Raw genomic sequence first — 18932 nt, forward strand, 5'->3', positions numbered from 1 at the left:
GATCAGGCACATGCTTTAGTTCGGATAACCATATGCCCAAGGTAGTTCCAGTTTATGCCTGCTGTTCCTCTGACATTGTTTTTTTATTTTAAATTATTATTATTTTACAGATCCTCCTTTCACTCCTCCTGGTTTGAATACTAAAGTATATGGTCACCCTAGCTTTAGGGGCTATGGGCTGTTGCTATGGTAGGAATAGCATGAGTGGGACATAGCATGAGTGGGACAAGATTGGAGGCAGGAGGGTCATGGATGAGGGTATTGCCACAGTTCAGGTAAGGAAGGGCAGAACCAGAGCAGGCAGAGAGGACAGAACACAAAGGGGCGTGGGCAAGAGCTGAGGCTAGTGGAAAGTTGGCCAGACCTGGTGGGTGAATGGGCTTGGGAAATAAGGAAGGAGAAGGGTGAAGTCCAATGACTCCTAGGTGTTAAACTTGATTGTTCTTTGTTCGTTTGTTTGTGTGTTTGTTCGTTTGTTTGTTTAAATACAGACAGGGTCTCACTATGTTGCCCAGGCTGATCTCAAACTCCTGGGCTCAAGCAATCCTCCTCCCTCAGCCTCCCAAAGTGCTGGGATGACAGGCATGAGCCACCATGGCTGGCCAGGCTTGATTGTTTGAAAGCAGGTGGAAGTCTGGAGGCAGGGCTTGTTAGGGTTAGGGGATAGAGATCATGATTATGTTTACGATGAGTCTGAGGTGCTCCAGGGACGTTCACTCACACATGCCCAACAGGAAGTTGGACATTCCAGAGTGGAAGTCAGAAGCTGTCAGTTAGAGATTCTTCCAAGCAGATAGCTCGTTGAAACCAGGGAAGTGATGAGCTTGCTGGAGAGAGGGAATGGTAGTTCAAGACTGGAAACAGAATCCTGGGAGATCCCTATATTTAGGAAGTTGGAGGAAGGAAAGAAGTCAGAGGAGACTAAAAAGGAGTGGTTGGGAAGTAGGGAGGAAATGAAGGGGAGTGAGTGGCTTGGAGATCATGGCAGTTTTGGGTTTTTTGTGTTTTTGTTTTTGTTTTTGAGACACAGTTTTGCTCTGTTGCCCAGGCTGGAGTGCAGTGGTGCGATCTTGGCTCACTGCAACCTCCGCCTCCCAGGTTCAAGCAATTCTTCTGCCTCAGCCTCCTGAGTAGCTGGGATTACAGGTGCACACCACCATATCTGGCTAATTTTTGTATTATTAGTAGAGACGGGGTTTCACCATGTTGGCCAGGCTGGTCTCAAACTCCTGACTTCAAGTGATCCGCCCACCTCAATCTCCCAAATAGAAGTTTTTTAGGAGGGAATTAGTATCAAATTGTGCAGATCAATCAGTGAGGAAGACAGAGTAATAGGCCAGTGGGTGGTTATTTGGAGGTCGCAGACGACTGTAAGAGACTACAGTGTGGTGGGGATATTGAATGAAGAGTTGAATGGCAAAGAACTAGAGGTGATTACGGCGATTACTCATTCAAAAAGTCCAGGAGAGGCCGGGTGTGGTGGCTCATGCCTGTAGTCCCAGCACTTTGGGAGGCCAAGGCGGAAGGATCACTTGAGTTCAGGAGTTGGAGACCAGCCTGGGCAACATGGTGAAACCCCGTCTCTACCAAAAATACAAAAAATTAGCCAGGCATGGTGGCATGTGCCTGTAGTCCCAGCTACTTGGGAGGCTGAGGCACAAGAATCACTTGAGCCTAGGAGGTGGAGGCTGCAGTGAGCCCAGATGGCACCATTGCACTCCAGCCTGGGCGACAGAGAGAGACCCTGCCTGAAAAAGTTAAAATTGAAATTAAAAAATAAATAAATAAAAACAAAAAGTCCAGGAGAAAGGAGGGAGGGAGAACCAAGAGTGACAAGGTATAGGAGAAGATGCTTGATGGAGAAAGTTCTGGAAAGGCACCCGAGATGTTGAGTCTTTGGTAAGAAGAAGGAACTCTTCCTCCTCAGAGACAGGAGAGAAGAAAGGATAAGTGATGATCCAGGGAGATTCTGAGGTGGACTGGCAGGTTTGGGGACAAGTAGAGTGGGGCACATTGTTTGAAGAATGGGCTCCATATTTTTGGTCAAGTAAGAGGGACAGTCCTCTAAGAGAGGAGAGCAGGGAGTTGAAAGCTCATGGAGGAAGCCTGTAGTGGTTGTGGAATTGTAACAGGGAGTCACTTACAGATGCAGAGAAAGTGTTTTCCACATGGTGACAAGGAATTAGTTGAGGCAGCATGAATGAGTCAGTTTTTTCACCTGCTCTAGAGTGCCCAGGAATGGGAGCCAGAAAAGTAATTGATGGTGTTGCTTAGGGCTGGAGCAGGGTGGGCAGGATGGAAGCAAGCACAGGGTTGAAGTGGCTGATACAGAACCAGGGTAAGAAGGGAGAAAGTAAAGCCAGAATGGGGGTGAGGGACTGGGAGAAAGCAGACAGTTTCAGGGACTACAGAGCAAGTCAACAGGAATGAATGAGGTGAGAAGATAAGGGATTGGGCTCAAATAAGAGAAGTTCAGATCCTGAAATTCTGGAGTTTCCAAGGAGTGAAGGGAGTGAGGGTCATGCCAATTAGTGGCTGGACAGGAAGTGAAAGATCCTGTCCAGAATAGCTCAAGACCTTCAGGTCTTCAGTAACCCCATGCTGGGGGGCAAAGGAGGCTGGCTGGGGTGGCTGGGCATGAAGCCAATCTCAGCATCCCTAGTGACATTCGGGTTTGATTTCCTTTGTATTCATGCACGTGGTATATGTCCCTTTATTAAACACAAAGAACATTCAAATAATTAAAATAATGGCCCGTAATCCTACTCCTCAGAAATTACCAATGGTAATATGTTGTTGAATACTCTCCCAGATCTTGATACAGGTATCCTTTCTAATCAAGGCACTGGCAGACTTGGTGTTGTGTGAGGGCCCTTTGTCTTTCTTTGTTTCTTTCTTTCTTTCTTTCTTTTATTTATTAATTTTTTTGAGACAGTGTCGCTCTATTGCCCAGGCTGGAGTGCAGTGGCACAATCTCAGCTCACTGCAACCTCTGTCTCCTGGGTTCAAGTGATTCTCGTGCCTCGGCCTCTTGAGTAGCTGGGATTACAGGTGCCTGCCACCATGCCCGGCTAATTTTTGTATTTTTAGTAGAGACGGGGTTTCACCATGTTGGCCAGGCTGGTCTCAAACTCCTGACCTCAAGTGATCTGCCCACCTCGGCCTCCCAAAGTGCTGGGGTTACAGGCATGAGCCACTGTGCCTGGGAGGGGCCTTTTCTCGGAGATGGAGGCTTCTAGCTGTGTCTTCACATGGAGGAAGGGCTATACATGCTTTTTTAAAAACCAAAATGAGGATTACATTATATAGACATAATGGTTTTAAAAATAAACCATTTTGGAATTTTGGTAATTTTGGAATAATTTTAGATATACAGAAAACTTGCAAAGCTAGTACAGGGTTTCCATACATCCCTTATGCACTTTCCCCTAATGTTAACATCTTACATTACCAAGGTATATTTATCAGAGTTAAGAAATCAGCATTGGTATGTTATTATTGACTGAACTTCAGATTTTATTTGGCTTTCGGTAGTTTTCTCACTAATGTCCTTTTCTTATTCCAGGATCCAATCCAGGCTACCACATTGCATTTAGTATACATACTGTTCTGCAACCTGCTTGTTTTACTCAACGTTACATTGTGAATGTCTTTCAATGATGCTAAACATTCTTCCACGCCATCATTTTAATGGCTACATGGTATTCTGTTGATGGTTGTACCATTGCCAATCCCTACTGTGGGATGTTTAGGTTGTTTCCAATTTTTCACTCTTATAAACAAGGCAGGAATGAGCCCCTTGAAGTTAAATCGTCTGGACTATTCCTGTTTATTTCCTTACAATACCGTCCTAGACATTGCTAGGGATAAGGGGGTATACTTTGTGGAGGCTGGGGATACTTCTTACCCAACTTTCCTCCTGAAAGGTTGTATTAATTTACCCTCATATTGGCATCAATCATGCTTTTTGTTGGTTTTGTTTATGACAAGGAGGGATGTGGGTGCAGACCAACTCTTAAGAGTGGCTGTCTCTCAATGCCAGGCTTCTCGATACCACATCCTATCTCTCTATCCTCAACTCTTCTCTAAGCCACGGAGTCTGTATTGGCCCGGACTGCAGTTAGCAGCTGGGGTAGGGGTTGGGTGTGGCCAGGCTATGGCCCCTGGGCTCTGGGGACATCTCCTAAGCTGGGAGCTGGGAAGGGGGACTGGGCGGCTGCCTGGGCTTTGGTCTTTTTCCTGGAGCTGAGCTGGCCGGAGGGAAGGGTTGGGTTGGGCAGAGGCTGTAAGGAGAGGGGGAGCTCTCCTCTCCCCTCGTGAAAGCTGAGAGGCAGGAGGGCAGCTCCCTGAGCCAGCCGGGGGACAGCAGACGGATCGGGAGAAACGTAACCTCCCCGAGATGCATGCTCCAGTTCAAGCAGGAGGCATTAAGGATGAAATATCTCCCGAGCAACAATTCATCTCTAACTGGTAGGAGAGGGACTCGCTGACATTTAGCTGTGATCAGGGTCTGCACATGCCTGTCTCCAGAAGCCTAACAGGAGCGTGACCGTCTGCGTGTACGAGAGACTGTGTGTGCGCATGTGTGTGTGTGTAACAGAGTGTGAGGAACTGTGTGTGGCTGTAATGAAGCAAAGGGTATACGGGTGATGTGGTGTGTAAGGAACCGCATGTGTGATGGGATATGAAGGCTTATGTGTGACTTTCGCGAGGCTGTGTATGCATGTGACAGTACGTGTGTGAGGATCTTCGTGTGATTGTGAGCATCCTCAAGTGTATGTGAAAGCTATGTCTGTAATAGGGTGTTGGAGCCTGTGTGTGATGTCGAGCAGTGTGGATGATTGTGCGAGCGTACGATAGGGTGTTCTGCAATACTCTGTATGAAAGCAAGATTGATCCTGAAATTGGGCTTGAGACCTTATGAGATTGAGCATGCGGGATAGTAGATGTGAAACTGACCCCCAGACTAAGCTAGCCACCGCCACCTCAGGACACCGCCAGCGCAGGAGATGGCTTTGAGAGAGTTAAAAAGAGGCACCCCTTCTGTCACAAAGACACAGACACTGGTCATGCTCTCCTGGAGCCCTCTTGTGTGGTGCAGCCTGCGTAACTCTAAGTGAAGACCCTGTGTGGAGCCCCTGCTCTCTTAGAGTCCAGTGAAATTTTCTCTACCATGACCCTTATTATGATTTGACTGTCTTTAACAATTTTGTGTAAATATTCATTTAATATATGTATCTCTCTCCTGCTAGGCTGTAAGCTCCATGGAGGCTGGGACCACTGGTCTAGGTCTGTCTCGTTCATTGTTGTCACACCGGCTCCTAGCCCGGTGCCTGGGGCAGAGCGGTTGCTCCATGAATATTTGTTGGATGACTGAATGGATAAGACAGGGTGCACACATACAAGTGTGAGTGCACAGGCATATAGAAGTGTGGACCTGAGCCAGGGCGTCCGTGTGCATTCGCTGGATGTGTGTGCCTGTGAGTGAGTGTCATTGTCATTCCCAGAAGACCTCCCTCTCCTGTTTCCCTTTTTTTTTTTTTTTTTTTTTTTTTCCTGAGACAGTCTCACTCTGTTGCCCAGGCTGGGATGCAGTGGCACAATCATGGCTCACTGCCCACTGGGTTCAAGTGATCCTCCCTCCTCCCACCTCAGCCCCGGAATAGCTGGGAACACAGGCACATGCCACCATGCCAGGCTAGTTTTTTTATTTTATTTTTTTTTTTTTGATGGTGTCTTGCTCTGTAGCCCAGGCTGGAGTACAGTGGAGCTATCTCAGCTCACTGCAACCTCCGCCACCTGGGTTCAAGTGATTCTGCAGCCTCAGCCTCCCGAGTAGCTGAGATTACAGGCACACGCCACCATGTCCGGCTAATTTGTGTATTTTTAGTAGAGACAGGGTTTCCCTCCCAAGTAGCTGAGATTACAGGCACATGCCACCATGACCGGCTAATCTCTATTTTTAGTAGAGGCAGGGTTTCGCCATGTTGGCCAGGCTGGTCTTGAACTCCTGACCTCAGGTGATCCGCCTGCCTCAGCCTCTCAAATTGCTGGGATTACAGGTGTGAGCCGCCATGGCTGGCCTTTTTTCTTTTTTGTAGAGACATGGTCTCACTATGTTGCCCACACTGGTCTCTAACTCCTGGACACAAGTGATCCTCCCACCTTGGGCTCCCAAAGTGCTGGGATTACAGACATGAATCACTGTGCCCAGCTCCTCTCCTATTTGCTAAGCCCTCAGCCCCAGATAGGCTACAGACAGACATGGCCTGGAGACAGGAGGACATTTGAGAAGGAGACCAGCTCCCTCTTTGCACTGTGTTTGGGCAAGAGTGGCAGGAGCAGTGAGATTGGGTTTACTGGCTGGAGAAACAGCAAGGGGTCAAATCCTTCCCCACTCCACCCTAGATGTTCTCCTGATTCATTGTCCAGGCCTGTTTGAGGTCCTGAGAAGAGTTCTGGGAATTGGGAGGAGCAGATGAAGACAGCTTCATCTGCTCCTGCTGCTTTAACAAAATAGCTTAAACTGGGTAATTTAGAAACAAGGGAATTTTTTTTGTTTTGTTCTTGTTGTTGCTGTTGTTGTTGTTGTTGTTTTTTAAGACACGGTCTTGCTCTGTCACCCAGGCTAGAGTGCAGTGGTGCAATCTCAGCTCACCTGCAACCTCTGCCTCCCAGGCCCAAGCCATCCTCCCACCTCAGCCTCCTAAGTAGCTGGGACTACAGGTATATGCCAGCATGCCTGGCTCATTTTTGTATTTTTTTTTAAGAGACGGGGTTTCTCTGAGATACAGGCTGCCCAGGCTGATCTCAAACTCCTGGGCTTAAGCTATGTGTACAACCTCTGACTTCTAAAGTGCTGGGATTATAGGTATGAGCCACCGCATCCAGCCTGGAAATTTATTTCTTACAGTTCTGGAGTCTGGGAAGTCTAAGATCAAGGCGCCAAGAGATTCAGTGTCTGGTAAGGTCTTGCTTCAAAGATGATGTCTTCTTCTTTTTTGTTTTTGTTTTTGTGTTGAGACGGAGTCTCACTCTGTAACCCAGGCTGGAGTGCAGTAGCAAGATCTCGGCTCACTGCAACCTCCACCTCCCAGGTTCAAGCGATTCATGTGTCTCAGCCTCCCAAGCAGCTGAGACTACAGGCACGCACCACCACACCCAGCTGATTTTTGTATTTTTAGTAGAGACAGGGTTTCACCATTTTGGCCAGGCTGGTCTTGAACTCCTGACCTCAAGTGATCTGCCCACCTCCACCTCCCAAAATGCTGGGATTACAGGCATGAGCCAGCGCGCCCAGCCTGATGTCTCCTTGCTGCATCCTTATGTCGGGGGAAGGGCTAGAGAGCTCCCTTCAGCCTCTTTTCTAAGGATAGTAATCCCACTCATGAAGGCAGAGCCCTCGAGTCTTAATCACCTCCCAAAGGCCACACCTCTTATTACCACCACAGTGGAGATTAGGGTTCCACATGAATTTGGAAGGGACACACTTGGATAGTAGCTGGGCCACAGGCACCTGCGATTAGACAGGCCTTGGCAGCACTTCTCAGGAGAGAACCCGGTCCATGTTCTTCAGGCCTGTCCCAGGGCCAGCCCTTTTTTTTTGCTCCACACTGGGGTTCACGCCACCAATCCGGCTTCTTTTTTTTTTTTTTTTTGAGACAGGGTCTGACTCTGTCGCCCAGGCTTGAGTGTAGTGGCGCAATCTCAGCTCACTGCAGCCTCTGCCTCTCGGGTTCAAGCAATTCTCCAGCCTTACCCTCCCAAGTAGCTGGCCTGCACCACCATGCTAGGCTAATTTTTGCTTTTTTTTTTTTTTTTTTTTGAGACAGAGTCTCACTCTGTTGCCCAGGCTGGAGTGCAATGGCAAGATCTCGGCTCACTGTAACCTCTACCTCCTGGGTTCAAGCGATTCTCCTGCCTCAGCCTCCTGAGTAGCTGGGATTACAGGCGTGCACCACCACCCCCCCAGCTAATTTTTGTATTTTTAGTAGAGACGGGGTTTCACTATGTTGGCCAGGCTGGTCTTGAACTCCTGGCCTCAAGTTATCCACCCGCCTCAGCCTCCCAAAGTGTTGGGATTATAGGCATGAGCCACCACGCCTGGCCCCTGCTTGTATATTTATGTGATTTACGTGGGTAGACATAGCAGTTTTTGTCACTAATGCCACAGCAGCCCTACCCCTAGGCATGGCCTAGTCCCTAAGAAGGAGGGCCCCGTGGCCCTGCATTTTGAGAGAGGTGTACACGGGGGGACATAGAGATGAAAAGGGTCGGTTTGGGGTGGGGGAACATTTGGCAGGGAGGTTTGCAGAAGCAGAGAGAAATGACCTAAGAAGCATGAAGGGGACAGGAAAGTGAGAATGTTGGGGGCTGAACAGGTTTGGGGCAGAGCAGGAGGCAAATGGCTCAGCACAGAGGCCTGACGATGCCCTCGATGGGCGGATGGGAGGAGGCTAGAGTTCACCAGAGCCCCAGGTGGCCATCAGCACAGCTAGACCCACTCCTAACTCCTAAAATCTGGGGTGGTTCCTGAGGCTCACTCATGCTGGTGCTCTAGGAACAGAGGCGGGAACCTGCTCAGCTAGGGAAATGAGCTCAGAGGGTTTACTGGAGTGATGCTCTGTCCCAGTGTGGCCAGAGAGACCACAGGGCAGTTGACAGAAGAGACTCAAGATGGTAGTTGTCCCTGTGTGAACTGTTTCCCCGCTAAATGACAGAGGAGGGCGAAGTGCTCTGCCAGGCCCCCTGCTCAGACTGTGCTAATGGGACTCTGGTTATTGGGGCAAAATCCGAGGGCTGCACTCACCCGGCCGCTGCGCTGACCCAGTGGCTGCACTCAACCGGTGGCTGCACTGGCCTCCACTTTCTCAGCAAACACTTGGGCAGACACAGTGTCCTGGGGGTGCCTGTCAGACCCTAGAGGCCCCTTCCCTACCCACAGGGGCTCTAAACTTTCACCCTCCCTTCCTGCCCCTACCCCCATCCTTTCAGAGTCTGAAAAGGCAGACAGCTTGCTGTTTGCTCTGGAATCTGACCTTCTGAGCAGGCAGTACCCTGCCTCTGGCCTCTGCCCTCTCTCCTAGGGCCCTCAGTGCTGCTTCCCTGGGGGTTCCCAGCCTGTGCAGAGACCAACCCCTCCGAGGCAGAAGATATTTGCTCTGCTCCTAGCTTTGGGAAACCACACGTTTCATCTCCCAGAAGGGGGATCAAGACAGGGCCCTAGGCTCCTAGGGGATGGGGGAGGGGTGGGCCTGCTCTCTTCTGTCACCATCCCCCCCAATTTTCAAAGCAGTTTGGCTCCATATATGACTGGAACCAATTGCAGGCAATGTCCCTGTCAGGGCATAGCTGTGCTCATCCATTACCTGCTGGAATCTCGCCCACTGCCCTCTCAGGGGGACCGGCTCAGGAATTCAGTTGACCCTTGACAAGTTGGAAAGGCCAAGGGTATCTTTTCCTTCCTCTCTTCTCAGTAATGACTTGATCAGACTGCAGGCTCCTTAAGGATAAGAGTCGAGTCTTATTCATCTTTGGGTCACCAAGCTCCAGTGCTCAGCACACGGTAGTCACTAAATTAAAAATGGAACAAATGAATGAAAGGAAGAGGGGGAAAGGGAGGACTGTATCCCTTTTCTCTGGTGATGGAAGTGGGGAGAGGTTGTGCTTATTAACTGGTATGTCTATGGTCATTATGTCTTCTGGTGGTGGCAAGCGGAAGCTACTAGTTTCCCTCCCACCTGGCCACCTCCCAGGGTCACTCCATCATCCGTTTGCCCAGCATTGGAGGTGAGGTAGGGGGTAACTACTGAGCATTTGGGCTGTCCTCAAAGTGTAAGCAGCCTTGTGCACATGCCAGGGAGCCTCCAACCCGATTTTGTCTGTAGATAGTCTCTGCCTTGGGCAGAGCCTTGTGCCAGGCATTGAGAAGGAATCTGGCCTCAAAACATCAAACAAGAATCCAGTTCCCTTCTTCCTACTTCACCCCTCCATGCCATAGCACTCTGGTAAAATTTATTCAGATCTGGGGATTGGAGAGCAATTCCTTTTGGATTACATGATCAGGTCAAGAGATGCGCTTTGGGATCTGAACTCAATCCAGATGCATATACTGGGTCCTTTCTCTCCCCATGCAGGGACTCAAACCATGTGTAACTGGAGGAGTTGACTGCTTGCAGAAAACATAGGTGCCTATGCATCCCTGAGAGGACAAGAGAGTGACTGGAGGGGCTTTGGCCAGAGTCCAGGGGTGGGGAGAGGTGACAGTTCCTGCTGCCTCTAACATGGTCACTACCATCGCTAACCTTGGAGGAGGTCCCTCTCCCCAAATGCTTCAGAGCCCAAGATCTCACTGTCCGTGGAAGAGATGTGGGATATCCAGGTCTCTCTCTATAGCACACCTTCCACAAAAGAGCAACGTATCTCCATTCTTTCTGGGGATAACCTTTCTGGAAAATACATAAGCCAGAACAAGACCATTGTGATCTCCACTGGACAAGCCAGGAGGGGAGCAGAGCTTATCTCCTGCCCCTAACCTCTTCTCCTTCCTGTGGCACTTTCCATGCATCAGGATTTTTTTTTTCCTTTACTCTCTTTCTCTCTCTTTTTTTTTTTTTATTTGAGATGGAGTCTCATTCTGTTGCCCAGGCTGGAGTACAGTAGCATGATCTCGACTCACCACAACTTCCGCCTCTCAGGTTCAAGCGATTCTCTTGCCTCAGCCTCCCGAGTAGCTGGGACTACAGGCATGTGCCACCATGCCTGGCTAACTTTTGTATTTTTTTGCAGAGACGGGGTTTCACTATGTTGGCCAGGCTGGTCTCGAACTCCCGACCTTGTGATCCGCCCGCCTCGGCCTCCCAAAGTGCTGGGATTACAGGCATGAGCCACCGCACCTGGCCTTCTTTCTTTTTTATTACTCACCACTATACTAACAAGGACAGGTTTTCTATATTGGTAAGTCCTGCCAGGAAATACCCTTTCCTTGCTTCCTTTGGGCTTCAGGGACCAACCTGCCTTCAGGGATCAACTAGACAAACCCAGCCTGTTTGTGCTCAGCAAAAATCCAAGAAAAACTGTTGGCAGGATATTAGTCCCCCTGAGAGGGCAAGGCACTGCTGAGCTCCCCAGGCCCAGCCAGGCAGGCATCTATAACTGATGGCAGAATGCCTACAGCTAAGTGGCCACAAGTTAGTTATCAACTAAGGGCCCCAAAGCCAGAGCATCCAAGCAGGCAGAAAGACAGTGCAGATTTCAATGGACTGTGGTCAGGATAGGCAAGGAGTCCAGAATCTAAAAGGTCAAACAGCAATGCAAACTTGAGCCTGAGGCAAGAATGATTGAGTGAGGGGGCTGCAAGGGGACAAGCGGTTCAAGAGCTTATTTTGACCAGATGGAAATTTTGGGTATACTCGGAGACTTCTAGACAGGAAAAAGGGATCTGGGGGTGTCCTTACAATACTGAGCTGGTGGAGATGCTGCAGGGCCTAATTTCATTATTATGGTGATGGTGGAAGTTGTTGTTGTAGTGAGATTGATAGTGACAGAGATTGCAGTAATTATGGTAATAGCAGGAATGGGGTGATGAGTGGTCATAGTGTTGCCATGGTTAATGGTTGTTGCCAAGGGGATAAAAGGAGTAAGGATGATAACTATTGTTATGGGGAAGGACATGGTGATATTGAAGCTAGAGTAACAGAAACAATCATTTTAGGGGTGATGGCAGTATCAGTGAATGATAGTGACAATAATTATGGTCACAAGTGAAGAGGTGATTGTGATGGTTGTGGAGAAGTTGACTTGTTATCCAGATGAGGGAGTGATAAGGTGATAAATATTACATTGGTAAATATGGACTCTTCATGTGGTATCATTGTTCTTTCTTTAAGCCACATAATATATGAGATAAGCCTGATCCTTTAGAGGAGCTCAGGAGGCATATGTCATGACCCTGGGTCTCCCTGAACATAACACCTCTGTGATCAGACCTGCACTGTTTTTCCTGGTCCACTCCATTCTGACTGAAGCCAAAGTGGAGATTGGAGGGTAACCCATACCCTAGCTTTTCCTTTTGTTTCTCCATCTTCCTAGGGGCCTACTTGCTTCCTAAGATAGTCCTTCTCCAGGGTCCAATATAGTAAACTAAGGCATAGTTGTTCCTCGTGGGCTGAAGCCAGAGCACTCTGTGTATGCCAAGCATCTGGCTGGAAAAGGAATAATGCTGCCAAAAGGCCCTTGCAGCAGTAGGAACAGTGGTTACTGTAACTATTATTCTTAACTCATGGCTGGTCCTCAATCTCTAATTGGTTTCAACCTCTGGCAATTCCCTTAATCTGCGCTGGCTACTAGCCAAATGTGGCTATTGCGCATTTGAAATGCAGCTAGTCCAATTCAGATGTGAGTGTAAGATATACATTGGATTTTGAAGACTTAGCATGAAAAAAAGAATGTAAACTCTTTATCTCTCTTTTTTCTTTCTGTTTGTTTTTGTTTTTTTGTTTTTTGGTTTTTTTTTTTTGAGACATGGTCTTCCTCTATCGCCCAGGCTGGGGCGCAGTGGTGCAATTGTAACTCATTGCAGCCTCAAACTCCTGGGCTCAAGTGATCCTCCCACCACAGCCTCCTGAGTAGCTGGGATTATAGGCACGTACCACCACACCCAGCTAATTTTTAAAATTTTTGTAGAAACGGGGTCTTGCTATGTTGCCCAGGCTGGTTTCAAAATCCTGGGTTCAAGTGGTCCTCCCACCTTGGCCTCTCAAAGTGCTGAGATTACAGGTGTGAGCCTTTGAGCCTGGACCTCTTTATCTCTTTAATATAAATTTTTATATTGTTCACATGCTGAAGTAATATTTTGAAAATATGGAGTTAAATGTAATATAAATTAATTTCACCTGTTTCTTTTTATTTTTTTTTTAAATGTGTCTACTAGAAGATTTTTTTTTTTTTTTTTGAGACAAGTTCTTGCTCTGTCGCCCAGGCTGGAATGCAGTGGTGCTGTCTACTAGATGATTTTAAATACATATGTGGTTCACATTATATCGGATGGTGCTGCCTTAGCTCATTTGCTTTTCGTTTGCTCAGAGAAACAAAAGGAAAGAAATAAAGCAAATTCCAAAATTATAGTAAGTTAAGCACCTAATAAGTTTGTTTCTCTTTACCATAAAATCTAAGCAGAAGTGCTGCAGGGCAGATGTGGCAGCTCCATTCCAATGTCAGGGCTCCAGGGTCTCTCTTTACTATGCTTTCACCATTCTCAACACATGGCTTCCATCTTGAGGTCTAAGATGACTGCTCTAGTTTCTATAACCATTTACACTCAGTGAAAAGGGGAGAAAAGGGTGTCAACTCCTTCATATGGGCAGAGTCCAGAAGCACACATTACTTCTGCTTGCATCTCATTGGCTGGAATCTGGTTACCCAAACACACCTAGCTGCAAGGGAGTCTGGGAAATGTAGTCCTAAACCAGGTGGCCATGCTCCAGCTAACACTTGGGGATTTTATTATTAAAAGAAGAAAGGGAGAATGGCTGCTGGGGGACAGGAGGGCTATTACCCAAGGCTCATACCTACTACAGGTCTGAGGAGTGGCTGCCATCACTGGCAGCAGGAGGATGGAGCAGATAATCTCCAAGAAAAAGCCTGTTCCGTTTAAAGAGATTTATTTTTATTTATTTATTTATTTATTTATTTATTTATTTATTTATTTATTTTCGAGACATAGTCTTGCTCTGTCGCCCAGATTGGAGTGCGGTGGTGCAAGCTCAGCTCACTGCAACCTCTGCCTCCTGGATTCAAACTATTCTCCCTGCCTTGGCCTCCTGAGTAACTGGGATTACAGGCACCTGCCTCCATGCCTGGCTAATTTTTGTATTTTTAGTAGAGATGGCCTGGGCTGGCACCATGGCTCACACCTGTAATCCCAGCAATTTGGGAGGCCAAGGCGGGTGGATCACCTGAGGTCAGGGGTTGAAGACCAGCCTGGGCAACATGGAGAAACCCTATCTCTACTAAAAATACAAAAATTAGTCAGGTGTGGTGGTGGCTTGAGCCCGTAGTCCCAGCTAGTGGGAGGCTAAAGCAGGAGAATCGCTTGAATCTGGGAGGCGGATGTGTCAGTGAGCCAAAATCACACCGCTGCACTCCAGCCTGGGCAACAGAGTGAGGCTCTCTCAAAAAAAGTAAATAAATAGGCCAGGTGCGGTGGCTCACACCTGTAATCCCAGCACTTTGGGAGGCCTAGGCAGGTGGATCACTTGAGATCAGGAGTTGGAGACCAGCCTGGCCAACATAGTGAAACCCTGTCTCTGCTAAAAATACAAAAATTAGCTGGGCGTGGTGGTGCACATTTGTAATCACAGCTACTCGGGAGGCTGAGGCAGGAGAATCACTTGAACCGGGGTGGAGGAGGTTGCAGTGAGCCAAGATTGTGCCACTGCACTCCAGCCTGGGCGACAGAGCAAGACTCCATCTCAGAATAAATAAATAAATAAATAAATAAATACATACATACATACATACATAGGCCAGGCACAGTGGCTCACACCTATAATCCCAGCACTTTGGGAGGCTGAGGAGGGCAGATCACCTGAGGTCAGGCGTTCGAGACCAGCCTGGCCAACATGGTGAAACCCCATCTCTACTAAAAATACAAAAATTAGCCAAGCATGGAGGTGCACACCTGTAATCCCAGCTACGTGTAAGGCTGAAGCAGGAGAATCACTTGAACTCGGGAGGCGGAGGTTGCAGTGACCCGACATCGTGCCATTGCACTCCAGCCTAGGCAACAGAGTGAAACTTCATCTAAAAAAAAAAAATAATAAAATAAAATAAAAATAAATGAATAGTGAGCTGAGATCGCGCCACTGCACTCCAGCCTGGGCAACAGAGTGAGATTCCATCTTAAAAAATAAATAAATAAATAAATAAATAAATAAATAAATAAAGACAGCCCAAGTCCCAGCATATTTTCAGATGTTCCTTGATCAGCATGATTTTAAGAGAGGGAAGAAAGGAGACAGTTTGACAAGAAAATGAAAGAGGGAGAATGAGGACGGTGCATGGCTGGGGACTATTGTTTGAGTTGTAAGCTCTCTTGCTGGGACAACGCCTGTGATTCCAGTACTTCGGACGTTTATACTCAAGGTCTTCATAGGTCATGTGATATAGAAACAATGGCTCCAACCATTTGTTAAGTAGGTTCTGTTTATTAAACTCCTGCTTGCCTACCTTCTTCCTTCCACTTTTGACCTTCCCCACCTCTCTATCAGGTGCCCAGGACAGGCACAGAAGTGAACCCAGGAGACCTACAAGACCTGTACTTAAGAGAGTAGTGTGACTTGGGAGTCAGAAAACAGCCAAAGACAACTATCCAGACAGCCACAGTGGGCAAAGGCTGGGACAGACACACTGGGCATAGCTCTGACTTTCTCTTTGACCCAGATCTCAACAAAAAAATACTCAAGTAAAGTTGATCTCCATGAAGACAGGACCTAGCTCTATCGTGTCCACCAATGTATTCCTGTTGCCTGGCACAGAACAAGCGTTTGGTAAGAGTTTGCTGAACAGATGAATGAAGAGGAGTGGGCTTTCTCTGAAGTCAGGTTCGAGGTTGAGCTGTGAGGAGAGATTATGTGGGTTTTGAGGTTGGGGCTCCACCATGCCCTCCCACCTACCCCTCCTTTTCCATGGCCCGCTTCTGAACCTTCAATCCCATCCTCCCAGGCTCTTTCTCTCCATGACTGCTGGTCTCTCAAGCTCGGGATAGGCTGCTCTAGGGAAACTGGAGGTAGTGGGCAGAAAGGTGAGGCAAGTGTGGGCATTTCCTCGGAGGCCGGCCCTCCCTCAGAACCCACTGCCCTGGCAGACTCACCTTTGCTCTTGGACTGAGACAAGGCTTCCCTGACTGCCGCCTCCTCCACGCTGCTCCTTCTCTCTCAGCAAGGGTCAGATAAGGAGACCGCAATCCGCCCTAGGAGAAAGCCTGGCCGATAGAGGGGCCCAAACCCCGGACGTCCCCCCTCCTCCCATATATCTTGGTGTCAAACACATTTTATTTCCTCACGTCTGGGGACCCTGGAGCTTCCCCTCCAGGATTACTTCCTCCTCCGGTTTGTTTTCCAGCTGGAGATTCTAGGAGCCCCACGGCAGGGGGCGGCTCCTCCGCTTGTGGCCCAAAGGCTTCAAAGGGCCCAGAGTGGAATGCCGCGGCCAGAGGCTGCTGGCCTGGGAGGAGGGGTGGAGGCATCGCAAGCCCAAGGTACGGGGGCTCTGGCTGGGTACCCCACTCATTTTCAAGCTGCCCCCCCATTGGCTGAAGGGCTGTATCTATGGGCAGAAGGTGACTTCAAAGGTCAGCAATGGGGGACTCCCTACCACCCCCTCCCCCGGGGCTCAGAGGGGGCCAGGAAGTGCCCCCCCCCATCATGATGGATTAGGTGCCTAAGAGCCATGGCGAGCTTAAGGACGGGAGACCTTCTCTTTTTTCATGGGGTTCAGATTTCACGATTTGTGGGGGGGGTTAAATAATTAGTAATTTGTGATTAAGCCTTTTCATGGATATTTTGTTTCTTTGTTCTGTGATGTCGCCTGGAGCCATTTAAAAAATGACTTAATGACAAAGAAAAAATAATTGCTCTTTGTAACTAATGACTGTGTCAGAACTTGGAAATCACCAAAGCCTCGGAAAGTAGAAACCGAGTAGGGGGTGGGGGTTCCACTCTCCAAGGAATCAGATCAGCAGTCGTAAAGTGGCCCGGGATCTGCTTGCACCTGGATGGCCCCCTTCCCTTCCCTGGAGCCAGCAGCCAGCACCTGCAGGCTCAGCCTGGGGGCTTCAGGCCTAGGGTGCCTTAGGTACCTTTGCCCCTGGGCTGAGAGGAATGGTCAGAATGCCCTAGGCCAGCCTAGACTGCACCAGCTCAGCCTCACCTTGGAGTTGCTCCTTCCTTCATAAAATCCCCCTGTAAGGAGACTTCTCCCCCTCTGGTGGAGGAGCAAGGGGTAGTTCTGTCCTCACTTCTCCACTCCTGCAGCTTCCTATAGAGCTCCGGAGTTGCCCTGGGATTCTGGATTCTTCTGGGTCTTTACTTTTTTTTTTTTTTTAGTACTTAATTGTCAAATAAAGATTGAGCATATTCACAGGGTACAATGTGAGGATATGATACACTCACCCGAATCTTTATGGCTCCTGTGTCCCTACCTAGACTGAGCTCTCCCTGGGGGACAGAAAAAATGCCCTCTCCCTCCTGATGCTTCAGCCCCTCCTCCCCTCATGTACGCTAACCTACCTTGGGCTGGGGCCCTGCAGAGCTCTGGACCACTTGAGGCAGGGATCTGGCAGGGCCCAAGCCCCAAGGACTCAGGGCAGCCCACCGCCTGCTGTCACCCCCAGCCGCCTCCCGCAGCCTCTGGGGACTGGGCCGGGAGATGGGGAATTGCTCACACAGCAGATTCCACTCCTGTTCCCTTCCCAGGCCCTCGCTCCGATCTCTCCCAGGGGGAAATGCTGGGGGGAGAAAACCGTTAACTTGTGCCTTCTATTTGGTTTTCCTCTGGTTATTGTTTAAAATGCAGAGATTATGAGGTCAAAGTCTCCCAGCCAATATTTTTCTAATGAAAAATGTAGTAAGGCACGACTGAGTAATCTAATCTATAAGTTAAGCGTTCCACACAGCAGCGATTTTCACCGACAGAACTTCAATAAATCTTGTTTTGAGAAAAATGATATGAGGCTGATGTTCTATTTTTGTCAATTTGAATGGACTCCCCTGCCCCCCCAGTCCCCAGAAACACTGCACTGCACCCAGCCAATCTCCTTCTTCCCTCCCCCAGAGCAGGCTGGATGAAAGTGGGGGACAAGAATGATAGGGTGGGAGGCCTGAGTTCTGACCCAGCTTGGCTCAGAGGGTCTGGGGCCACAGGCCTCTGCTTCAGCCCACCTGGTCTCTGGGGCTCTCCTCCTGGTGAGGGGCTTGGCAAAGGGATTGGGGGTCTTGAAGGAAAAGGCAGCCAGTGGTCTAGGAGAATGGTGTCGACTTTCCTAGCCGTGGGGTCAGGACTGCCCAGGCAAGCCTGTTTCCCCGAGCTGTCCCAAGACTGAGCAAAGAACAAACAGCAGCCCTCGAACCTTCCCTTGACCCCCAACAAGCCATTGATAGATCTGGCAAGAAAGGCCTCACCTCAGGAAGAACTGGTTAAATTCATCTTCAAAGCTGCTGTTCCCCTTCGCCTGACTCGAACGTGGGAGACAGGCCAGAATGTAGTAGTAAACTCACTCCTAACAAAGGATGCGTGTGTGTATATGTGTGTGTGTGTGTGCGCGTGCATGTGTGTACATGTGTGTGCATATGTGTGTGCATGTGTGTGTGCATGTATGTGTACCCATGTACACCCGTGTGCAGGGTGCTGGGAAGGAAGCAAGGCTCTCTCGATGAATGTGCAGACCTAAGGCTGTCATGGAGGGTGGCTGCCAAGATTAAAATCAAGAAAGAGATTTCTAGCCCAAGGAATATGTGGGAGGCCAGAAGAAAGAATATGGAGCTGTTTCAAGAAACTGGAGAAGCTGTAAGGGCAGCCAGAAAGGATTATGTCACCTCATCAGAGAGAAATCAATTAGGAGAGGCTTCACAACGAGAGCTCCTCCTCCCTCCTCCCAGCCACGATCCACCAAGGGGAACGGATTAAGACAGAGATGTCTGGAGACAGAAAGGTTTTTCTGGGTGGAGATTTCAGCAGCATTTAGATTTGGAAGAGCCAGAGGCTGTCTCACTCTGAAATCTGCAGGTATGGAAACCACAGACAGAGGTAACTTGACCTCTCAGTGTCCAGGAGAGCTGAGTATAGAGGCAGGAGGGCTGGGGTTGGGGTCTGAGGATCAGGGGATCCACGTTTTGACATTACCAACAGTCTGACTTCAGACTTCAGACCTCAGT

General features: G+C 48.8%; 1 long non-coding RNA gene across 1 annotated transcript, besides 2 other annotated features; it reads right to left on the reverse strand.

Annotated features, from left to right (window-relative positions):
• Window positions 1-7825: 7825 nt before the first annotated feature.
• Window positions 7826-18555, reverse strand: LINC02681 (long intergenic non-protein coding RNA 2681). Its single transcript, NR_120621.1, has 3 exons — window positions 18180-18555; window positions 15872-15970; window positions 7826-9572 (listed from the first exon to the last, which is right to left on the reverse strand). It is a non-coding gene; the product is annotated as a long intergenic non-protein coding RNA 2681 (long non-coding RNA).
• Window positions 13303-13503: a silencer, noted in NCBI's record as "peak1078 fragment used in MPRA reporter construct". NCBI's record gives its function as "represses an SCP1 promoter by STARR-seq MPRAs in K562 erythroleukemia cells {active_cell/tissue: K562}" and the evidence as "EXISTENCE:reporter gene assay evidence [ECO:0000049][PMID:32103011]".
• Window positions 15355-16142: an enhancer, noted in NCBI's record as "H3K27ac-H3K4me1 hESC enhancer chr10:103020107-103020894 (GRCh37/hg19 assembly coordinates)". NCBI's record gives its function as "activates a minimal SCP1, AML or CMV promoter by ChIP-STARR-seq in naive H9 embryonic stem cells {active_cell/tissue: H9 hESC(naive)}" and the evidence as "EXISTENCE:reporter gene assay evidence [ECO:0000049][PMID:30033119]".
• Window positions 18556-18932: the final 377 nt, after the last annotated feature.

The sequence above is a fragment of the Homo sapiens genome, chromosome 10 (genome assembly GCF_000001405.40).
Source record: "Homo sapiens chromosome 10, GRCh38.p14 Primary Assembly".
In the NCBI taxonomy this organism is placed as follows: Eukaryota; Metazoa; Chordata; class Mammalia; order Primates; family Hominidae; genus Homo; species Homo sapiens.